Source organism: Homo sapiens, chromosome 13 (assembly GCF_000001405.40).
Source record: "Homo sapiens chromosome 13, GRCh38.p14 Primary Assembly".
Taxonomy (NCBI): domain Eukaryota; kingdom Metazoa; phylum Chordata; class Mammalia; order Primates; family Hominidae; genus Homo; species Homo sapiens.
The window spans coordinates 108,823,508-108,849,171 of NC_000013.11; the positions used below are offsets into that span (position 1 = coordinate 108,823,508).

At 36.6% G+C, this 25,664-nt stretch overlaps 1 protein-coding gene across 5 annotated transcripts in view, besides 1 other annotated feature; it reads left to right on the forward strand.

Moving 5' to 3' along the window:
- MYO16 (myosin XVI) overlaps nt 1-25,664 on the forward strand; it is a 712,290-nt gene that overhangs the window by 327,792 nt on the left and 358,834 nt on the right. For 3 of the 5 annotated variants that reach the window (XM_011521062.2, NM_015011.3, NM_001198950.3), the window contains exon 10: nt 20,836-20,986. In XM_011521062.2, the coding sequence (XP_011519364.1) occupies nt 20,836-20,986 (151 nt within the window). The remainder of the gene's footprint in view (nt 1-20,835; nt 20,987-25,664) is intronic. The other 2 variants (XM_047430183.1, XM_047430182.1) reach the window with 1 other exon arrangement.
- Nucleotides 11,486-12,017: an enhancer, noted in NCBI's record as "OCT4-NANOG hESC enhancer chr13:109487341-109487872 (GRCh37/hg19 assembly coordinates)". NCBI's record gives its function as "activates a minimal SCP1, AML or CMV promoter by ChIP-STARR-seq in primed H9 embryonic stem cells {active_cell/tissue: H9 hESC(primed)}" and the evidence as "EXISTENCE:reporter gene assay evidence [ECO:0000049][PMID:30033119]".

Below are 25,664 nucleotides of genomic sequence, written 5' to 3' on the forward strand. Positions count from 1 at the left end.
TGTGCCATGAGACCAAATAATATTTTAAACACATTCCAAGATTTTAGCTAAACTGATAGTGAAGTTTCCAGTGATTATCATTATGGCTGACTTTCCTGAAATAGAAAATACTGATATATGTTTCTTTCTCTCATAAGCATAAAACTAATCATTTATTGTTGTGTGTGTTATCTCCTAAAAATAACTTCCTGTTGCATTGAAAATATCAAATGGATTGACATCATTTTCAAGGTCTGAAAAAGGGACACAAAGTGTGATTAATAAGAATGACAAATAACAACTTACATTCAAATTCATGTTAAATTTACTGAAGAATAAGTGTTCATTTAACTCATAAGATAATGCTTATTTTCCAGAGTTTCTCTTTGCCAGCATATGGATATACAAACACAGGTGTTATGTATATAACTTAGGTATGCTTACATATTCATTCATTTTCAAATATCTGAAATATTTGTTCGGAATCTACTGACTGTGGGGCTTGGAATGTATAATAAAACAGATAGCAAACATTGTCAGGTAGAGATGGACTGTGAATATCTAAATCAATAAGTAAATCTGTATGAATAAATAACATTGCATGTAACGTGTGGGACCTTGTAAAATCTGTCACATCATTTTAAAGGCCTTCATGAACAGCAGTCAGGTAAAGAAATTGTGTACCCAGAGCAATATTATAAAAAATTGATAGCACCTGTAAAATTACTGAAAGATAAATTATTAAACATTGGAAAGCTTGTTACCTCCAGAATGCTACTGCTAAAATATGCATTAAAAGATGTAAGACAAACATGGAAAACTTTATGAAGTGTTTTAACATGATATACAAGTTCATTGAAAAGCATAGAAATACCCATGGTGAAAATGTACAAAAAGCAAATATATGAAAATCTGGATATTCTAATACAACCCCTCTAAAACAGATCTCTATGAATTTATATATTCATATTCTTCAGAGGTAGTGTTGTGGTTGCTGGAAAGAGCTTTGCCTTATGGCTAATATTTAGTTTGAATGGTTAAAGATGTTAATGCCCAACTTTCAAAAACAAATAGAACAAGTGGGCAAAATATCAACAAGGGAATAGAAGACTTAAATAGCACTATAAACAACCAGATCTAACAGACATATTTAGAGCACTTCATCCAGAAATAGTGGAATACATATTCTTTTCAATTGAACATGGAACATTCTTTTACTAAAATCAGAAATGAAAGAGGAACATTACTCCTGGATTTACAGAAACAAAAATAATTAAAAGGAAATATTATGAACAATTGTATACCAAAATATTAGATAACCTAGATGAAATTGATGAATTCCAAGGAAACACCAAGAAACAAAACTAACTCAAGAAGAAAGAGAACATTGGAATAGACCTACAGCAAGTAAAGAGATTGAATTAGTCATCAAAAACTTCTCACAGAGAAAAGCTAATATCCACATGGCTTCGAGGCTGAATTCTTCCAAATGTTTAAAGAATTAACGCCAATCTGTCACAAACACTTTCAAAAACAGAAGAGCAGGGAATTGTTTTTGACTCATTCTATCAGGTCAGAATTACCCGGATACAAAAATCAGATAAAAATATCAGATAAAAAGAAAACAACAACCTTATGAATATAGCTTTAAGACACCTAAATAAAACACCAGCAAATCAGGTTGAGCCACATATAAAAAGGACTTCACAATATGTCTTTGTGAGATTTATGACAAGAAAGCAAGGCTGAGCATTCAAAAATCAGAAAATATGGTATATCATGTTAATAGAATAAAGAACAAAATCACATGATTATCTCAATATATGCAGAAAAAGCATTTGACAAAGCCCAACACCCTTTTATGAGAAAAAAGTAAATAAACTAAGAATGGCAGGAAATTTTCTCAACCTGATAAGGGGCAAGTACCAAAAAATAAAAAAAAGAAACAAAACAAAAACAAAACAGGGCTAACGTCATACTCAATGGTGACTGATCAGTTACCCCATAAGATGAGGACAAAGGCAAGAGTGTCTGCTGTCACCAGCTCAGTTCAACATTGTATTGCGGTTTTAGCTTGAGCAACCTAGCAAGAAAATAAATAAATAAATAAATAAATAAATGAATAGTATCCAAACTGGAAATGAAGAAGTAAAACTATCTCTATGTTCAGATGACATAATCTTGTGTATAGAAAATTCTAAGGAATTTACAAAAATATCTTATTTGAACTAAGAATATAGTTCAAGAGGATGGCAATACCCATGATCAAGGCACAGAAACAATCTGTATTTCTATACACAGCAATTCATAATTCAAAAATGAGATTGAAAACATGCTTACCCAGTAGGTTAGAAAAAAAAGGAAAAATTAAAAATAATTTACAACAACATAAGAAAAACAAAATACAAGAAAATTTAAGAAAAGAACGGCAAGTTTTTACACTGAAAACTACAAAACATCACTGAAAGAGATTAAAGAGCCTAAATATATGGAAAGAAATATTAAATTCATGGATTAGAAGACTTAATATTGTTAACACAATCTCTATAAAAATACCAGATGACTTTTTGCAAAAATTGATAGGCCAATATTTAAAATCACATAACAATTCAAGGACCCAGAATCCCTAAAATAATTATGTGAAAAAAGAACAAAGTTGGAGAACTCACACAACCCTATTTCAAAACTTACTTAAAATCTATAGTAACTAAGACATTGTGATACTGGCATAGGATGGAAATATATCAACAGAATAGAACTGAGAATCCAAAAAGAACCCCTTACATTTCTGGTTAACTGATTTTTGCAAAGAATGCCAAGATGATTCTATGGGAAAGAATAGCCTTTTACAATAAACAGTACTGAGACAACTGGATATTCACATGCAAAATAATGAGTTGGACCTGAACTTTATGTCATACATAAAAATTAACTCAAAATGGATCATTGACCTAATGTAAGAGCTAAAACTATAAAACTCTCTTTAAAAAATGTAAATCTTTCTGACTTTGGATGAGGCAATGGTTTCTTAGATATGACACCGAAAGATAAGCAATAAAAGCAAAAATAGATAAACTAAAGATTTTAGTGGTTTCAAAGACAGTAATAAGAAAGTGAAAAAAAAGACACACAATGGGAGAAAATTTCTTCAGTGCTATATCTAACAAAATGTAAAGGGATGCTTACAACTGAACAATAAAAAGACAAATAACTCCCTTAAAAATGGGCAATGCATTTGGATATATGTTTCTTCAAAGAAGATACAATCATAGCCCACAAGCACACACAAAAATACTCTACATTATTTATCAGGAAAAGCCAAATGGAAACCACCATGAGATACCACTTTATACTTCCTAGAATGGCCATTAATAAAGAACAAAAAAATAAAGGTAAATCAGTGTTGGCAAGGATGTGGAGGAACTGCCACTCTCGTATGGTGGTAGTGGGAATGTCAAATGGTGAGGCAGTGATGAAAAACAATCTGGCAGTTCTCAAACAGTTGAACGTAGGTTTACCACGTGACCCATAAATTCTTCTCCTAGGGGCATTGTTTATCTCCCAGATAATGAAAATATATGTCTACACAAAAACCTGTACATAAATATTCATAGGAGTTTTATATATAAGAACAATAAAAAAGGGGGAACAACTGTCCATGACTTCACCATGTATTCCGTCATCTGAATCATGGCTGCTCATTTTTCTTTGTCAGTCTTAACCCCAGCTTCCTATTCCTTTGCATTCTAAAGGTGATTTGTTTTTTTTTCCCCCAGAATATATTTTGCTACAATTGCAAGAAAGAATGGAATAGTTCATTTTTCTGCTATCTCAGGATACAAGCCAAATTTCTGCTTTACAGTAAACTCATATTTATTGTTTCAGTGAGCATTTTGTGCAGTAAATCATGATTTAGTAAGGTTAAGGACATCACTTCCACTATGGCCTGCTGTCAGTAAACACTGCCTGTCTTTAAATATTTGATGAATTGGAAATGCCTATGCTATTTGATTATCCCATATTTCACGTTTTCTAAGGTGTCTCCTATCCAATCAGCATTCCTAAGTTTTCCCCATGTTGCCTGACTTTCAAGCTCATGTCTAAAAATGTGCAGCTTTAATTTCAAAGGCCCTTCCACCTGTAACATTCTGTATCTGTAAGGACAGATCCCTGTAAGCCTGCTTTGTCTTCCTTCCATACTTGACTGCTCTTCACTCTGCTCCTCAGTTCCTTCTGACTGGGCGCCTCCTCTCTGTGTTGCCTTTCTGTCTTCAGATGTATTTAAGTGCCTCACTTGCTGTTATTGCCACTAATGAAACAGCTGCTGCTGAATATGCCCTTTAGCGTCTGAGCATGGACGTGCTCACCCAGGGTTTTTCATCACTGAGCAGTTTGGATATGTGCCAACTTGCATCTCTAATATTCTAGTTCATGGAGCCCGTGAGATAAAGCCCACAGAAATTCTACATGTTGCCTAAGTGGAGTAGTTCATTGATGAAAGGGTTTTTTTTACTTATTATTTGTAATAATAACAACAGTTTTGACAACTGATATTTTTTACTACAGTTACCAGGTGTTGAATCTTGAGCAAACTAGTTTGGATTATTTCATTTAACTCTCAGAACAACACCTGGACGCATGTCCTGTTACTTAACCATTTGATACACACCTAGCTGAGGCTTGGAGCTTCAAGAACATGACTCATGCCAGGCGTGTGCTAACTCTGTTATTGTTTCAGCGAGGAGGTCATTTTTATTTGTAATTCCAAAGCTTATCAATTTGGCTTTAAAAAGGAAATTGATAGTGCCTGAACTCCCTCTCTGAGTGTTCCTGGTGAGGCCCGGTGGTGTGGTGCTTATGGGCAGAGACTCCAGAGCCACTATCCAGTTTCAGATCCTGGCTCTGCCATTTACTGGCTCTATGACCTTGAGCAATTCAGTCAACCTCTTTGTGACATTTTTACTGAAGTACAAAATGTGGGTGTTGTTTTGTAAAGAATCTGGCTGATTTTTATCCTTGATTTCTGGGTGGGAACCAAATCCTTGGAATTTCCCATGGAATAACAGTGCCTTTGTTACTCATGAGCCCTTTGGATCGCATCTGAGTTTATCCTACCAGGTGAGATGACGCAGGGTAGGGGCCTAGTCATGCCAGAAAAACCAACAATGTGATTAAAGACCAACCATGTGATTAAAACCAGCCCAACCTCCAGGAGGAGCAGGACAGGCTCGAGATGGAGTTCAAACATGTGGCCAATGATGGCATCATTGATGCCTATGTGACGAGACACCAATAAAAACTGTGGACATTGAAGCTCCGTGGAGACTCCGAATTGGTGAGCACATCAGTGGGCTGGAGTTTGATGTACCCTGCATCCTTGGGGAGGGGGCTCAGAAGCTCTGCATTTGGGACCCTCTCAGACTTTTTCATATGTATTTGTTTGCCAGTCTTGTCTTAATTTGTATCCTTTATGATAAAGCTGTATTAGTACTTTGGTGAGTTTTGTAAGCCATTCTAGTAGTTTGTCAAACCTCAGGGGCTTGTGAGAATCTCAGAATTTGTAGCTCGTTGCTCAAAAGTTCAAGTGGCCTGGGGACCCCCAAACTTTTGGCTGGAATCTAAAATGGGGGCAGTCTTGATGAGGACTGTGCCCTTAACCTGTAGGCTCTGGTCTAACCCTTGGCGGTTAGCATAATTGTACTGCAGGACATCAGAGTTTGATGATGATAGTAATAATAACTGTATCTTAGGGTTGTTCTTCATAACTGAGTTAATATTTATAGAGCATTTAGAGCAATATCTGCCTCATTGTAAGTACTAAATAATTGCTTAAGAAATGACCAGAAAAAGATGTTCTTCACTTATCTTTGAACTGGCAGCAAAAGCATCTAAAGAAGAATGGCTTTGTAGCTGTAGGCTGAGACAAAAATAGTGGTAGGCCTTCCGCTGGGTGCTTTTAAACTGATTATAACCATATGGAGAAAATCTTATTTTCTAAGCAGCTGGAAAGAACATCTAATATCATAAAAAACCAGCTTTGGTTGGGTGAATACTCTGATGAGGTTGTGTGGGGGCTGAGTCGCCAGAGTTTCTGAGTCATCTGTGACCTGGGATAGAGAAGAAATGCCACTTTCCTAGGGATGAGAAAAGACTATGAGGAGGGGACCTAAGCAGGGCTGAGGGCCACAGGAAAAGGGACTGCTTGGAGTTGATCCCAGGGTGGCCTCAGCCAAGTGACTCTTGGGGAGGAGAAATACCCCATGGGGATTTTTGAATGAAATAATATATAAGGCAGTGTGCCCCTTTTGACCTTAATAAAAGGATAAGACTCACAATAGATTTGGGAAAGCTCTGAAAAATCACAACCTACTCATCTGACAAAGGGCTAATATCCAGAATCTACAATGAACTCAAACAAATTTACAAGAAAAAAACAAACAACCCCATCAAAAAGTGGGCAAAGGACATGAACAGACACTTCTCAAAAGAAGACATTTATGCAGCCAAAAAACACATGAAAAAATGCTCACCATCACTGGCCATCAGAGAAATGCAAATCAAAACCACAATGAGATACCATCTCACACCAGTTAGAATGGCAATCATTAAAAAGTCAGGAAACAACAGATGCTGGAGAGGATGTGGAGAAATAGGAACACTTTTACACTGCTGGTGGGACTGTAAACTAGTTCAACCATTGTGGAAGTCAGTGTGGCGATTCCTCAGGGATCTAGAACTAGAAATACCATTTGACCCAGCCATCCCATTACTGGGTATATACCCAAAGGACTATAAATCATGCTGCTATAAAGACACATGCACACGTATGTTTATTGTGGCACTATTCACAATAGCAAAGACCTGGAACCAACCCAAATGTCCAACAATGATAGACTGGATTAACAAAATGTGGCACATATACACGATGGAATACTGTGCAGCCATAAAAAAGGATGAGTTCATGTCCTTTGTAGGGACATGGATGAAATTGGAAATCATCATTCTCAGTAAACTATCGCAAGAACAGAAAACCAAACACCGCATATTCTCACTCATAGGTGGGAATTGAACAATGAGAACACATGGACACAGGAAGGGGAACATCACAGTCTGGGGACTGTTGTGGGGTGGGGGGAGGGGGGAGGGATAGTATTGGGAGATATACCTAATGCTAGATGACGAGTTAGTGGGTGCAGCGCACCAGCATGGCACATGTATACATATGTAACTAACCGGCCCATTGTGCACAGGTACCCTAAAACTTAAAGTATAATAATAAAACGTCAGATATTAATATTAATCTTTGGATCTTTATCTTATTTTATAAAAGCAGGAAAAAAAGTTCATTGTATTTTCTACAGTGAACAATTTATGTAGCTATGTTTCTAGGGGTAACATTGAGAACTGTCTATTCAGTCCATTATTTTAAGTGCCAAAATAACCAAATCACATATGCCATATCTTTACATCTGTTTCTGTTAGTAATAATATTTTTATTACAAATTCAAATTCAGCTGGACCCATTTCTCATGAACAGTGCCTTCACAGTGTCCTCACATGGTGGAAGAGGGACACAGTGATCTCGGGGCAGTTTTATAGAGGCTTTAATCCTCCTGAGAGTTCCACCCTCATGACTTAGTCACCTCGTAAAACCCCTACTTCTTAATGCTATCACTTTGAGGATTGGGTTTCAATAGATAAATGTAGGGGCCACACAACATACCAGCCACTGTCCTGGCCACTAAAACACATGCAGAAGTCTACCGGGCATAGAGTTGCCAGGTAAAATGCAAGAAATGCAGCTAAATTTGAATTTGTAATTTAAAAAATCATTTATTATTTGTAATTGTCAAAGATTTTTTATTTGCTAAATCTAGCAAGCCTTTAACAGGATAGGGCTTCAAGGAATTAAAAAGGACAGATTTCTCTGGTAAGCATCATTGTTTCTTTCCTTCTATTGCCTTCCTTCTTGGTACAGAAGTGTGTGATCTGGTAATGCCAAGTAATCTTGCAACCAAAAAATGAAAGTTACTTTCTTTTTTCCAGACAGAGTTTCGCTCTTGTTGCCCAGGCTGGAGTGCCATGGCACAATCTCAGCTCACTGCAACCTCTGCTTCCTGGGTTCAAGCGATTCTCTGGCCTCACCTTCCCAAGTAGCTGGGATTACAGGCATCCACCACCACACCCAGCTAATTTTTGTAATTTTACTAGAGACAGGGTTTTACCACCTTGGCCAGGCTGGTCTCGAACTCCTGACCTCAGGTCATCCACCCGCTTTGGCATTCCAAAGTGCTGAGATTACAGGCGTAAGCCACCATGCCCAGCTGAAAGTTACTTTCTAAGAATAACAGAGCAGGAAGCTAGAACAAATCAAAGGCCCAGAAGATCTGGAGAAGGTTACCATCCCTGGGCTGCCTATTTCTGCTTTTCTTGTTATGTGAGAAAAATCAATGTCCATTTCCTTAAGATACTATTCTTAGTTTCTGAGGTGGGCAGCCTAAAGGAATATTGGCTGGTGCTACAGCTGCTGTAACTTTGGGGTATCATGCTCTTGGGGTATCTTGCTTCTTGTGCCAAAGTTTTAGGACTCCAAAGATTTAGAAGTTGTGGAAATGATACTACTTTGACTTTCCAGTGTATTTCAATGTTCCGTATGGATTTTTTTTTTTTTTTTGAGACAGAGTCTCGCTCTATCGCCCAGGCTGGAGGGCAATGGCACAATCTTGGCTTACTGCAACCTCCGCCTCCTGGGCTCAAGAGATTCTCCTGCCTCAGCCTCTTGAGTAGCTGGGATTATAGGTGTGCACCACCGTGCCCAGCTAATTTTTGTATTTTTAGTAGAACAGGGTTTCACCATGTTGGCCAGGCTGGTCTTGAACTCCTGACCTCAGGTGATCCACCCGCCTCAGCCTCCCAAAGTGCTAGGATTACAGGCGTGAGCCACCGTGCCCAGCCCCATGTGGATTTGTATGTCCTGAATACCTCTTTTTCACAAGCAGAAGAAATTTCTCATAACTAGAGTGGCCATAGGTGCCCATTTGGTCCAGTCTGGTTTCTGCTTGTTTCCCCAGCATGATGATGAATAAAATCCTCTTTCAGTATTAAAATGTCCCAGTTGGCACCTTAAGTTCTACTTTCGCAGAATCAGAAAACTGTGGCATAAAATTTCTTGTATAGTTTCACTTCACATTAATATATTAAAGAATATTAATGCATAGTATTTAAGCAATAATAAATCATATTTGTATATAGTCTTTTAGATTACAAATGACTTTTATATCAAATAAGTCATTTGATATGTATGTGTAATTTTTTTATTTAGTAATCTATAAAACATCAAGCCTTTTTAATCAAATATTACAACTACATTGTTAAATTCTACAGAATGTGTTTACAAAATATTGATAAACCTGTCAATAAGTTCCTTAATTATTTTCACTTAGGTATTCTGAAGTCCAGTAGTGCACAAAGAGAAATGTCATAGAATACAGGGACAGAATGATACATTCAGGGAGCATTCCTAGCAAAGCTAACACTTGGAACTTTCAGAATCTTCCTTCATATATACATAAAACTACTAAATTATACTTAATTTCCAGATTTTCCCTTAAACAAGCTATTAAAAATTTTTTTGCATATATCTGTTGAGAGCTGTTAGATTAATATGTCTCAAAAACAATACAAACTCCAGTTCAGCCAATGACACATTGAAAGTTTTATTTGCTTTTTAGACACAGGTAATATTTTACCATAATGGTCTTTAAATTGTAAAAAAAAAAAACTTACAAAAATGAATTTTTGGAAGGACCAAACATACAGCAATTAATTCAAATCTCTCCAAGAGCTCTTTCATTTAATATTAATATTTGGATCTTTATCTTATTTTATAGAAGCAGAAAAAAAACAAAAATGTAATTGAATTTTCTACGGTGAAAAATTGATGTAGCTATGTTTGTAGGAGTAACGTTGAGAACTGTCTATTCAGTCAATTATTTTAAGCACCAAAATAACCAAGTCACACATGCCATATCTTTACATCTGTTTCTGTTAGTTTTTGTTGTTGTTGTCCTCATGTATCTCAATAGATTCCATTTTATTTCATCTCTATGGTTTTCTAAGATTGCTTTAGTTATAATGGGCGATAATTGTTGCCTTTGTTAGTTTCATTTTATTACATTCCTGTTTCCATTTTCAGAAATAAAATCCTATTTCCTACAGGCACATTTTCTCTGCATGAAGTTACTTTGATGTTTGTCAAAATAAGTAAGTCTGGCATAAATCCAGTAGAGTTCAGAAATTGGTTGTCTGCTGGTATATTCTCATCTATTTTTTTTCACAGTCAGAGTTAAATCTGTCTCTACTGTATTAATCTAAGCTACCCTTGGATGGTACTGATTTTCTTTTTTAAAATGTTTATGGGATCTGTCTTACCAATAGAAAATATACTCTCTCATTTCCATTTTTTCTCACCAAATAAAGTTCTATTACTAATAATTTATTTTTCATAATCAGAATAACAATTTCTTGTTGAATAAAATTTGGAAAGTGCAGAAAAACATATAGAAACATGAAAAAAATGACTCATTTGCTTCAAAGAAAAACTGCACCAGAGAAGTTATACAGGAAAGAAAGACTTTACTAAAAACTATTGCACCAAGGGAGAATGATTGAGCTCAATTCTACTGAACAAAAAGTAGGAGAGTTTCTAAGTGCTGGGGTGAGCTAGGGGGAAAGTACGTAGCACTTTAGGAGGGACTTTCATCAAGGTGATTAAGCCATGGGCATTTGCTAATTGTCCTTTATAGGCTCCTGTGCTCCACAAAAACTGGGAAATATGTGGGCTATGTTCTTCCCTGTTTAGATTTCAAAGGGATGACTCCCAGGTCATAAAGACATTCCTGGGTTGTAAAACTGGCCAGAGGCTGGGAGAAGATATACATCTCAAAGGGGCAGAGAAAAAAATTGCAGTTCAGTTTTCTAAAGACATTGCTCCAAGAAAAGGGAGTTCAGAGGACTAGAGATAGTCCAAAGTTGAGCTGAGAGAAGAAGGTTAAGGCCTTCTGGGTCACTACCCCACCTTTGTGATGAAACTGCTATTAACTTGGAATTTTTCCTTTTGCCCTTTATGTTTCCTGTTTTATTCAGTCTTGTACTCTCTCTCTCTCTCTCTCTCTCTCTCTCTCACACATATATATATGTGAATATATATATATATTCACATCCTATTTTAAAACATAATCTGATAAATGTTTTTCCAATCAATGAACATTTAATGTGTATTAAGAAAATACCAGTGATTAAAATTATTTCTTTTTTTTAACAAATAGCATTTTACTATGTGTGTCCTTAAATTCTACAAATGCATAGTAAATGAAAATTTAAATATATTGAAGTTAAATTTTCTGAATGCTATTATTAATCACAGTGATTATAGATAAAAATGTTTTATTGTTAAAGAAAGAGAGAAACCTAAACAATTGTTCTATGGAAATGTAAAATATTGTATGCCATCAGCCTAGCTGTACAATTTGCACTTTTCTTGTAGAAAATAACGCATAACTAATTAATATACTGCCTTTCAAAACAAGTATATTACTTAGAATTTTTTTTTTCTTATATGAATAAGAGAGTAATATGGTTTAGATGTGTCCCCACCCAAATCTCATCTTGAATTATAGTTCCCATAATCCCCGCATTCCCTGGGAGGGACCTGGTGGGAGGTAATTGAATCATGAGGACAGTTTCCCCCATGCTGTTCCCTTGATAGTGAACGAGTTCTCACAAGATCTGATGGTTTTATAAGCATCTGGCATTTCCCCCTGCTGGCACTCATTCTCTCTCCTGTCACCTTGTGAAGAGATTCCTCCTGCAATTATTGTAATTTTCCTGAGGCCTCTTCAGCCATGTGGAACTGCAAATCAATTAAACCTCTTTCCTTTATAAATTACCCAGTCTCAGGTACGTCCTTATAGCAGCATGAGAACAGACTAATACAGTAAATATGTACTGGGAGTGGGGTGCTGCTGTAAAGATTCCCAAAAGTGTGTAAGCAACTTTGTAACCGGGTAACAGGCAGAGGCTGGAACAGTTTGAAGGGCTGAGAAGAAGACAGGAAGATGAGGGAAAGTTTGGAACTTCTGAGAGACTTGTTGAATAGCTTTGACCAAAATGCAGATAGTGATATGGACAATGAAGTCCAGGCTGAGGTGGTCTCAGATGGAGATGAGGAACTTGTTGGGAACTGGAACAAAGGTGACACTTGCTATGCTTTAGCAAAGAAACTGGCAGCATTTTGCCACGCCCTAAAGAACTGTGAAACTTTGAACTTGAGAGAGATGATTTAGGGTATCTGGCAGAATAAATTTCTAAGCAGCAAAGCGTTCAAAAGGAAACAGAGCATAAAAGTTTGGAAAATTTGCAGCCTGATGATGCAGTAGAAAAGAAAAATCTATTTCTTGGGGAAAAATTCAAGCCTCCTGCAGAAATTTGCATAAGTAACAAGGAGCCAAGTGCTAGTCACCAAGACAATGGGGAAAATGTCTCCAGGGCATGTCAGAGACCTTCACAGCAGCCCCTCTCATCACAGGCCAGGAAGTCTGGGAGGCAAAAATGGTTTTGTGTTTTGTGAGCTGAGCCCAGGACCTCACTGCTGTGTGCTGCTGAGGGACTTGATGTCCTGCACCCCAGCAACTTCAGCCTCAGCTGCAGCTCAAAGGGGCCAAAGTATAGCTTGGGCCTTGCTTCGGAGGGTGCAAGCCCCAAGCCTTGGTGGAATACATGTGGTGTTGGGCCTGTGGGTGCTCAGAAGTCAAGAATTGGGATTTGGGAAACTTAGCCTAGACTTCAGAGGATGTATGGAAACATCTGAATTTCCAGGCAGAAGTTTGCTGCAGGAGCAGAGCCCTCATTGGAGAAGCCCTGCTAGGGCAGTGTGGAAGGGAAATGTGGGGTTGGAGCCTCCACACAGAGTCCCCACTTGGGCACTGCTTAATGGAGCTATGAGAAGTGGGCCATGTTCCTCCAGACCCCAGAATGGTAGAACCACTGAAAGCTTGCACCATGCACCTGGAAAAGCTGCAGACCCTCAATGCCAGCCCATGAAAGCAGCCGGGTGCAGGGCCATACCCAGCAAAACCACAGGGACAGAGCTACCCAAGGCCATGGGAGCCCACCTCTTGCATCAGTGTAACCTGGATGTGAGACGTGGAGTCAAAAGAGAATCGTTATGGAACGTTAAGGTTTAATGACTGCCCTGTTGTATTTTGGACTTGCATGGGGCCTGTACCCCTTTCTTTTGGCAAATTTCTCCCATTTGGAATGGGGTTATTTACCCAATGCCTGTACCCCTAGTGTATCTAGGAAGTAACTAACTTGCTTTCAAATTTACAGGCTCATAGATGGTGGGGACTTACCTTGACTCAGATGAGACTTTGGACTTGGACTTTTGCGTTAATGCTGGAATGAGTTAAGACTTTGGGGGACTGTTGAAAAGGCATGATGTTTGAAATGTGAGAACATGAGATTTGGGAGGGGCCGGGGTGAAATGATATGGTTTACCTGTGTCACCACCCAAACATCATCTTGAATTGTAGTTCCCATAATCCCCACGTGTGGTGGGAGGGATCCAGTGGGAGGTAATTGAATGATCAGGGTGGTTTCCCCCATGCTGTTCTCATGATAGTGAGTGGAGTGCTCATGAGATCTGCTGGTTTTATAAGCATCTGGCTTTTCCCCTGTTGGCACTTGTTCTTCCTCCTGCCACCCTGTGAAGAGGTGCCTTCTGCCATGATTGTAAGTTTCCTGAGGCCTCCCCAGCCATGTGGAACTGTGAGTGAATTAAACCTCTTTCCTTTATAAATACTCAGTCTCAAGTGTGTCCTTATAGCAGCATGCAAATGGACTAATACAGAGAGTCTTTGTGACTATTTATTTGCGATTATTGTTAGTGGTATATCTTATATAAGCTATGATATAATTGAGTGAGTTAGTGACTTATTTTTGAGATGCAGGTGAAAAGTTCTATGAGAGATGATTTATTAAGAATACAAAACTGTAGGGCTTGATACATACTTAGATATTACCTAGTTTAACTCTTGCATTTTGCAAAGGTGAAACTGTGACCCAGAGATTTCAAAGGGCTTAAAGGTTCAGGTGGTAGCCAACTTGAACCAACTTGAGGTAAAATCTGATTTAAATCTGATTTAAAATGATGTCTCCATAGTCTTAAGCCAATCTTTTTTCCAACTATAGCTCTCATGGAGTCTGCCAGTGATACTGCACTTAGATTTGAGATATGAAAGGAATATTTCAACTATTTTACTAAACTCAGTACTTCTTCTAAAGAAAAGTATTTATTCTAAAGAAATCTTTCTACTTGGTGATTTTTTTTGTACTTCATAAACTATCTTCTTTGTTCGTAGCTTGACCAATCTACTCTTTTATTAATCACCCTAGACTCAAAAAATTTGGTATATGCAAACCCTGTCTTTAGTTTATAAAACTCTCTGATAAAGAAGAAAAAAATATGATTGATAGATGAAGAAAAATACAGAAAATATTTTTATATGAGAGTAGATGTAGACAGTGTGGCACATGGGTAAGCACACAGGTTCTGGAGCTTAGAACTGACAGATTCAAACCTCAGCTCCAGTAGCACCTGCTGTGTGTCCAGAGCAAGTTCTTCTCCTCTGTGCCCTCAGTTTACTCATTCATAAAACAAACAGACATTATAAAATAATGAACACTTTATAATGTTGTTGTGAAAATGAAAAAAAAATTTAATACATGCAGCGTGTTTAGAACAGAAGACTATCACATGTTAAATGTCATATAATTAATATAACATTTTGCAGATAGTTCACTCAAATTATAAAAAAAATAGGGAAAGGCCATGAACGGTGGCTTACGCCTGTAATCCCAGCACTTTGGGAGGCCAAGGCAGGTGGATCACTTGAGGACAGGAGTTTGAGACCAGCCTGGCCTCAGAATTTCATAATGAAACCCTGTCTCTAGTAAAAATTAAAAAAAAAAAAAAAGCTTGGCATGGTGGTTCATGCCTGTAGTCCCAGCTATTCAGGAGGCTGAGGCAGGAGAATCACTTGAACCTGGGAGGCAGAGGTTGCAGTGAGCCAAGATCACACCACTGCACTCCAGCCTGGGTGACAGAGTGAGACTGTCTCAAAAAAAAAAAAAATATATATATATACACACACACACACACACACTATACATATACACGCACACTATATATATACACTATATATATATACACACACACACAAATGCACACACACACACACACACACCATAACAACTATTTTAAAATACGTGAAGGGGTTTTATTTCAAAGAAGCGTAGAACATATTCTTGGGAACTCTATGAATGATGAATGAAGTTACAGCAGACAGGCATTGTCCCAGTGGTGCTTGTGGAAGGAAGAAGGTCTCTTTGGAAGTAATATTTTATCATTTGATGGTATTTGTCTTAGTTCATTTTTTGTTACCTATAACAGGATACCTAAAACTGGATAATTTATAAGAAATGAAAGGTATTTCTTATGGTTCTGGAGGCTGAGAAGTCCAAGGTTGAGGGATGACATCTCATGAGTGCCTCCTTGCTGAGGGGACTCTGCAGAGTCCTGAGGTGGCACAGCATATCTCATGATGAGGGGCTCAGAGTGCTAGCTCATGCCTCTCTTCCTCTTCTTATAAAGCCATCAGTCCCACTCCCATTAATCCATTAACCCAATAATCTATTAATCCATGAATGGATTAACTTATTCATGGGGGCAAAGGCCTCATTACCTAATCGCCTCCTAAAAGTTCCACCTCTCAATACTGCCACACTGGGGACAAATATTCAAATCACAGCAGTATCAAGCAGATCTGGCTATGAAATTTTTATGAGCATTATAAGCCTTTTCTTTTCATAGTAATTTTTTTTTCAATTAATAACTATACTATTGAGAAGAACAGTCTACCTTGGTCCATGAGCATCCTTCACATTCTTGCTCAGTTTGTCAGACTGCAAGGCATATGTAGATAGCTACATAGACAACTGAGTAAATTTAAAGAATCATATCATTCACTCCCAAAAAGAGGGGACTGACTTATTTGCTCCTTGATACAATGTTTGTTGCTTGCTCAAAAGATACTTGATATCTAGCTGGCTTTCTCTCCTGTAACAGCACTTTCTCTAGTGTTGGCATCCATTAAGATCCAACTGTTTTGTGTTCTTCCTACTTCCTCCTCCTCACTACATGGAACAGAAGATAAAGGAGAACTGATATAAACATAAAGCTCTGTGTCTTCCATGAGTAATAAAGTCTTTTATCTCTCCTCCAGGGAACTCTTGTCTTCTGCAACTAACCATGGAATAGTAACAAGCTAACTTATTAGATTGTAAATAGGGTGAAATCTCAGAAGCATGACAGTTCTAGACACATAAAAACAGCAGCTGATTTATTCCCTGCTTATGGCCATAGTCATGATGCTAATCTCTTTATGTGCATTATGTTATTAATCCTTCACTATAGTCCTTTTGCAATTTGGTTTTGCAGAATGGCTACATAACTCACCCAAACTGGTAGAACCAGACATCAAACATGGTAGTTTTACTGACTTGAAAATGCATGCCCATACATCTGTACTGTACCATGCTATCTCATGTTAATATATGATCCTCTGTCCCCTCACCTACTTGCAAGTATTTTCATTGGCTAAAACACTATAAAACATCATTATCCAGAGTTCAAACTAAGGAAAACTCACCTTGCATTTCTGTAAATTTATTTCTTAATATTCCCGACTTTCCATCAGGCCTGACCTATTTGGTAGTCTCTTTTTTTATTCATGCTTTCCTAGGTTCTATGGTTCAGTTGGAAGGCAGGGCATAGAGATGGGCTGCAAAGTGGTGAGACTGTGGTGGTTACTGAAAGCAACCCTTCAATTTACTCTCTTCTTGCTATGTCAAGGTTAATATACAAAATCATTTGTGTATTTATATACTAAAATTCAATAAATGGAAATTGGAATTTTATTCTTATTTATTCATTTGTTTCATTATTTTTTGAGACCAGGTATCACTCTGTCACTCAGGCTGGAGCATACTGATGCAATCACAGTTCACTGCAGCCTCGACCTCATAGGCCCAAGTGATCCTCCCACCTCAGCCTCCTGAGTAGCTGGGACTACAGGCATGCACCACCACAGCTGGCTAACTTTTTACTTTTTGTAGAGAAGGGGCTCACTATGTTGCCCAGGCTGGTCTCAGTCTCCTAGACTTAAGCAATCCTTCTACAGTCAGCCTCGGCATTTTAAAATACATTCTTAAAACCATAAAACAGAATAAATCTAAAAATTATTTGGAAGATTTTCATTCTGAAAGCTAAAACATATTGATGAAGGAAATTGACAAAGATCAAAATAAAGGTACTTGTTTTCATGCATGACACAAGTTGAGATTGTCAGTATTTCAATCCTCACCAAACTGATTTATCAATTGAATGCAATGCTAATCAAAATCACAACAGGTATTTTTGTAAAAATTCACAAACAAATTCAAAATGTATATGAAAATGCTAAAGATCTCTAATTGCCAGATAATTTTCAAAGTGAAAACAAAGTTGGATGACTCACATGACTGGTTTCAAGGCTAAATGAGGAGATACATGAATCAAGACAGTGTAGTGTTGATTTAAGAATGAATGATTACATCAATGAATGATAATGAATGATTATATCAATGAAACACACTAGAGAGTCCCAAAGTAAACCCACACAGATATGGTCAATTGATTTTTCACAAATATGTCCCGCTAAATGAAAGTGAAAGTCATTTTTTAAAAAACAATGCTGAAACATTTGGACATCCATATGAGAAAATAATGTACTTCAACTCATATACAGCACTGTATACAAAAAGCAACTCACAATGGATCGTAGGTCAAAGTGTAAAGCTTAAAATTGTACAAATCCTAGAGTAAAACCCAGGAGAAATTTTTGGTAACATTGGGTTATGAAAGGAACTTAGATAAGTCACAGAAGCACAAACTGTAAGAGAATTTTTTTCTTTGAAACACAATTATGCAAATAAAACTACAAAGATGCTGAGTGGGAGAGAATATTTGCCAAGAGCTTATCTGATAAATGAGTTGGATACAGAATATATAAAGTCAATAATCTGAAAACAAAGAAACCAATATAAATAGTCAAAAGATTTGAGCCCACATTTTACCAAAGAAGAGAAACTTTGTATGGAACTACAAAAACTCTAAATAGCAAAAGCTATTTATTTCAGAAGGAGCAAAGTTGAAAGCATCACATCCCCTGATTTCAAACTATATTACAAAGCTATAGTAATCAAAATAGTATGATAGTGGCAATAAAACAGACACATAGACCATTGGAACAGAATGGAAAGTGCAGAAATAAACCCAAGCATATATTGTCAACTGATCTTTGACAGGACTGCCAAGACCCAATAGGGAAAAGAAAGTTACTTTAATAATTGGTACTAGGAAAACTGGATATTCACATACAAAAGAATGAAATTGGACCCTTTTCTTACACCATGTAGAAAAATTAAGTCAAAATGGATGAAAGACTTAAATATAAAAACCATAAACCTCAAAAAAAATCAAGAAGCTCCTCAACAACTTTTGTGGCAGTGAGTTTTATGGATATGACACCAGAAGAAAAAAGCACAGATGACAAAAGAAAAAATAAGTCAGTTACATCAGACTATAAGGCTTCTGCACAGCAAAGAAAACAATAAAATCAACAAAATGAAAAAGTAGCATGTTGAATGGGAGAAAATAATTGCAAACCATATACTTAGGTATATATACATATATGTGCATATGTATGTGCAAATATATATGATAAGGGGTAAATATCTAAAGTATGTAATGAACTCACACAGCTCACTGTAAAAAAAAACCTCTAAGTTTTTAATATGAGCAAAGAACCTGAACAGACATTTTTCCAAAGAAGATATACAATTTTGTCCAACAGGTATATGAAAAGGTACTCAACATCAGAGAAATTTAAATTTAAAGCACAACAAAATACCACCTCACACCTGTAAGGAAGACAATTATCAAAAAGACAAGAGATAACTAGTGTTGGTGAGGGTGTGTAGAAAAGGGACCCCTTGAACACTGTTTGTGGGGATGCAAAGTGGTATAGTTGCTACGGAAACAAGTATGGAGTTTCCTCAAAAAATTAAAAAATAGAACTACCACATGATCCAGTATTACAATTCTGGATATTTTATTCAAAAGAAATGAAATCAAGATCTCAAAGAGGTATGTACTGTCCCATGTTCATTTCAGCATTATTCACGATAGTAATAATGGAAACAATCTAAGGCCCACGAACAGATGAAAGGGTAAAGAAATTGTGGTACATATCTACAGAATATTATTCAGCTACCAAAAAATAAAAAGAAATTCTATCATTTGCAGTGGATCAACATGGAAGACATTAGGCCAAGTGAAGTAAGCCAGACACAGACCGACAAATATTACATGATCTTGCTTATGTGTGGACTCTTAAAAACCTGAAAATCACAGAAGCAGAGAGTAGAACCGTGGCTGCCAGTTATTGGAGAGTGGGAGCAAGGGAAGGTGTCAGTCACAGAGCACACACTTGGAGTCATAAGATGAGCAAATTTTGGAGATCTAGTGTGACATGTTAATTAATAGAATTGTAGTTGCCTTTACAAAATGTATATCTAATCACATTATACACCTTAAATATATTCCATTTTTATTTAATAAGTATTTTAAAATAAGAAAATGAAATTCAAATAAAAATCACAGTGTGAGAAGCCACTAACACATCTAATAATAATTGACTCCAAGGAGCACAAAGGGTCTCTTGGAGGTGATAAAGTATTCTATACATTGCTGGTTATTTTGCCTATGCAACTATGTATATCAGTCCAATCTCACTGAACTAAACAACAAAGGGTGAATTTTACTGTATGTAAACTAGACCTCAAACAAATAGAAGTTTAAAAGAGGCAAAAAAAAAATTGCACTTAGCTCTTATTAGAATCCCAGTGACTATGGTAGACTACATGAAATAATTATGTTTACATAGATTGCACTTGATTAAATACACGTGCATTTCTGCTTATAAGGTAACAATTTAGGAGGCACATTTTTAAATCTTAGTGATACAATGCAACATTTATCATTTATTTTCTATTTATTTTTAATGAACATTATAAAAATAATGGCTGTATTTTGGGAATAAAGTCAATAGAAAAATAAAAAGTTAAGTATCTTTTATTTTTTGGCTTTGTTTGAGCTGTATAGAATTAACAAAAGTTACTCTGCTTGTAATATTGCAGTCCTTAAAGATATTATTATTTTTAATTCTCATATTATTATTCCATCGCAAACTTGAAGTTTTGCCCATGATTTTGTATTTTAAATCCTAAATGAGTAATTTTTAAACTAATTATACAATTATGCCTTTATTCAGTTGTTTGCAATCCATTTTTGCATTTACATGTTAAATCTTGTCTAGTTCAGCCATGCATTTCAATCCCAGCTCTTAAGTTGTTTATTGATTCATCTATTATAGTCAGATATACATGTGTAAACATTTTCTTCTGGAGTTCAAATAAGTATATACTTTTTTCTTTTAAAATTAAAGTTGAATAAAGTTTGGAATTAATTTTTTAAAAGTTTACAGATTTCTTACTAATTTTTTTCCTGCAGTTTATAAGAAATATTTCTTATCTGAATAAAACCACCGTCATAGTCCAACTATCCTGTATTGGTAATTTTCGATTGATAAAACATTAGAAAGAGACTAATTGTAGTATTGATTTTTTTTCCTGTAGCAGTCCCCTGGTGTTACCAATTGCCAAGCAAGACAGTTTGTTGGAAAAAGACATTATGTTCAAAGATGCAACAAAAGGTCTGTGTAAGCAGCAGTCTCAGGACAGCATCCCTGAAAACCCCATGATGAGCGGTTCCACCAAACCCGAGCAGGTAATCATGCTTTCACTGTGTGTCTACCAGTACTTTTTCATATCAAGTAATGTATTATAAAATCCAACATATTTCAAAAACAAATGCGCACTAATTTGCATTCAAAGACAATTAATGCATAGATTAATATTTTGCTTGCAGTTTTCATAAACAATTAGTGCATTCTGCTGATCAACAAACATAATTGCTATTGTGCTTTACAATTTGAATTTTGGTTTTGACTTATAACCAGGAATATAAGCTCAGCCAGCGCATTAGTTCTTGAATATTTCCAGTTGAGTCATTTGTCATTATTTTGATTTTTATGTATTCTGTGTTTTCTTGGTTTATTTCAATGACCCAAATATTTATGAACAAGAAGGGCAAACCAGTCACTGAATCATTTATTCTTAAAAGTAACTGTGGTCATGCATTGCATGTGTATCTGTACGTGTCTGTGTGTTTATGTTGCGTGTGTGTGTGTGCATATGTGTACTTGTCTGGTGCCTAAGTTATGGGAGGTAATTTTGGATTTGAAGGGGGAGAGGGGAATGAGCTTGGAGTTATGGCAATTAATGTATTTTATTATGGCCACAGAAATAAATGATTTTGTATATTTCTGTTTTATAAGTGGCAGAATAACTTGCATCCTTGAAAATAGCTTTCTTCAGTGTATCTAATTTTTAATATTTTATAGATATTTTAGCCAGGTTTTCTAAAGATCTTCTTCTTAAAATTTAATTTTAACTTTATTAATTTTTGTTATTTCAAGTAACTAAAGCAGATAAACAAAACATCTGAAACACTTTTAAATTTTAGCAGGTGTATTCATCTGCTCAAGCTGCCATGACAAAACACCACAGTCTGGGTGGCTTGGACAACAGAAATGCATTTCTCACAGTCGTGGAGGCATCTGGATTCTGAGGGTCCAAGGTCAAGGTGCAGGTTGACTGAAGGTGCAGGGTGCCTTCCCACTGCTGTGTCCTTGCAGGGCGGACAGCAGGAGGCAGGGAAAATGGGAAGGAGGAAGAGGCAGGGAGGAGCAGGGAGAGGGCACTCTCTGGAGCAATCTTGTAGGCTTAGGATCCCACCCTTATGATTTCATTTAACCTAAATCACTTCCTTATAGGCTCTATCTCCAAATACAGTTGCATTAGGGATGGGGGCTTCCACATATGAGTTTGGAGAAATACAATTAGTCCACAGTTCTAGACAAATCAAAGGTTAGGTAAAATTTAAGAGAAAATATGTATATATTTTTTGAGACAGAAGATTGCTGTGTCACTCAGGCTGTAGTGCAGTGTCACAATCATGGCTCATTGCAGCCTCAACCTCACAGGCTCTAGTGATGCTTCTGCCTCAGCTTCAGAGAGCTAGGACTAGGGTGTGTGCCACCATTCTCTGCCATTTTTTTTTTTAAGAGATAGGGTCTCACTATGTTGCCCAGGTTGATCTTGAGTTCCTGGGCTCAGGTGATCCTCCCACCTTAGCCTCCCAAAGTGCTTGGATTATAGGTGTGAGCCACCACACCTGGCAAAATATTCTTAACTTTCTTAAGGATCCTATTAACTTCTGTTGACATTCCAAGTGTTTCTGAGCCATATAATTTGTGTACTTTAGTGTCTGGCATAACTTTCCATTTCTGGTTATGATTTAATACTATCCTGTATAGAGGAAAAATGACTATTAATTAACTAGTGTCTAGCACCCTCTTACTCCTCATACATTTTAACACTTATGCCCATAAATTTAGTAATTTAAAAGTTTGGTTTTTGTTTTCATTACAGATATTTAAGACTCAAATTAGTTTGCAGTGAGTGTTGAGGAAACAAATTTCTGAGTTATTTTACAACAGTTGAAACTCAAGAATGAGTTCTGTTTCCTAATTGTTTTCATGGGAAGCCACTTTGAATAAAGTCTTATGGGTGCTTTCTCTTGTTATATATAAACCCATTACTGCTCACCTTTAGCTTTTACAAAATAATATCATTATATATATATACATACATATATATACACACACATACATGTGTGTATATACATATATCCTTTGGGGGGGAATATTTTATTTTTAATAATTTGTTTATTGATTAAAATATTACATTGTAGGATTCTATTAGAATAGTTATGTGAGCAAAGAAATTGAGTGTGACTGACAATTGAACACTATTTTTAAACTTATGGAGTTATTTTCCTCATATTTTAATTTGTTATTAAGAATGGGAATATTAATGTTATTTATTACATAACCTAGAGAAATTAAAGATAACTTTAAAATGTATTTTTGTTTTTACTGGCATTGTTTTGAAGTATTTTTTCTTAATTCATTTATATAAATTGTGGGAAATCTCAGGCTAATTGATTTCCTACTGTTCAAATTAACTAACATTCAAAAACTTTTGAATGCAATTATTGATATGGCATGACTTTTAGTCAATGTGTATATGTGAAATTATTGTACATTTCTATTAATTTGCTTTCAAGCTGTATTAATTAGGTGTTTGAGTTTAGCAGTAGTAAGTACAATGATAATCATTTATTTAATTAAAGAAGAGCAAACTAGGTCAACCATTTCATCAAGGTACTGAGATTTCTCCCTCTGTGGAGTTAAAACAATTTCTGATTAGCAGATTGATTGCTTTTTAAGTGGTAATTTAATAAGACGTTTCTAAAAGACATAAAGTGTTCTTCAAATATAAGACATTCACGACATAAAAATATCAAGTGTAATCTTCACAGGATAACTTTTCTGTTTTGATGTAGACTTTTTATAATTGTATCCTAGACATAAAAAGTAATTGTAACCATGCTCTATTTATGCATTATTAGAGAGGAAGTGGCAGCTACACAGGCTTTATGCTCCTGTGTATTTATGTCCTAATATTCACCCAGTAATATGCCGCATGGTATCCATCATGTTCTCATATGTTCTTGCCCACAAGGTGCTAGCTGTATGGTTCTCTCCAGGGAAGAGCAGCGTGGTAAACTGAGTGGATTATATATTCACATTTCATAGGAAAGCTTTCCAAAACACTTTTCAAAGCCATAAAGCTCTAATTAACATTTTAGAGATAAATACATCATGTGGAAAATTTTAAAAAATTAAAATAAAAACTACTTTGCATCTCTCTTTCCAGATTTTTATAAAGTGTAGGTCTTATCAAATGGTAACTGTGTAAATGAATACTAAAGGCTTGATTTGACATTTTATTTTTTTTAATTTCCGAGAACCACTAAAATTAACATTTGTTTTTATAATATCTCTGAGAACACAGAATGTTTCTTAAATTGATTATAATGTGCAAGACTTCCTTCTCTTCCCTTTCCCTCCTGGTTTCCTTTCCCATCCCATCCCTCCCCGACCTCCTGGGTTTTTTCATTTTTTTCTTGGTTCCCTAACTTCTTATTTTCCCTCTTTCCTCTCTTTCTCCCTTCAGACATTTTTATTTAAATTAGGTTTAAGGTTGAAATTGAAGTCAAGTCTTCATTCCGTTTGGTGAAGTTATGACAGCCTGGAGTAGAGAGAGAGCGGGAAAGAGGCGTGCAGCTTTGCCGTGGTTCAGGTCTGCAGCTCTGGAGCTCTATGGAAGTCCCATAGCCTTACTGAGCCTCATGTGCAAAATGGGTACATAGGACTGGGCTTGTATGGTTGTTAGGAAGATGACAGGAGATGGATGTATTATTTGTACTATCATTATTATATAGACTGACTGTATGTGACTGACTGGAATTGCATACTCCGGTTTTGCCAGAGCAGTAGTCTTCTACTCCCTGCCCGGATCTGTTCTAAATTCATGTAGTTCCACTCAACATATCCACAGGACTTTATACTTTTCAATGTAAATGTAGATTATTTTAGAAAATAATAATGCAAAATAATGTGTTATGTTGGTTAACATTTCAAAGCTTAGAAATGCGTTCACCTGCACTATCTTAATCCTCAAAATGTCACTGTGAGCAGGTTATTTTCTGCTTTCACTACATAACTAAAACTCAAGTTTCAAACTGAATTTCAAGCTGACCAAACTTAAACTCAAGAAAGTTAAGCAGGCTGGGAGTGGTGGCTTACTCCAATGATCCCAGCACTAGAGGCCAAGGTGGGAGGATTGCTTGAGGCCAGCAGTTCAAGACCAGCCCGGCAACATAGCAAAACCCCATCTCTACAAAATATTTAAAACGTAGCAGGGTTTGGTGGCGCAGGGCCTGGTGGCACACACCGGTGGTCCCACCAACTCAAGAGACTGAGGTGGGAGGATTGCTTGAGTTCAGAAGTTGGAGGCTGCGGTGAGCTAGGACGTCATCACTGCACTCCAGCATGTACTATAAAGTGCGAGCCTGTCTTGACGAAAAAAAGTTAAGCAAATTGTCTAGAATCACAAATGTTTCTTTTATTTTGTATCCAGTGCTCTTTTGGGGGCACCACAGCAGGTTTCTAAGATCCGCTAAAACTTTCTTCCTGTAGTCCACAGAGACACAAGCACATGTGTGCACGAGCACACAGATCTGCAGCCAGGGAAAGGGAAAGGGCCTGGTAGACTTCACTATTTAAGAAACACTTGGCAGAATAACAAAAGGAGGGCAAAACTACACACGACTGTCCAGGCATGGCATGGGTGGAAGCCTTGGGAAGCGAAGTAAAGTATGTGTCACATGATCACCCTTTCCTAATCTGGTCATTCCGGTCAACACGAAGTTTTTT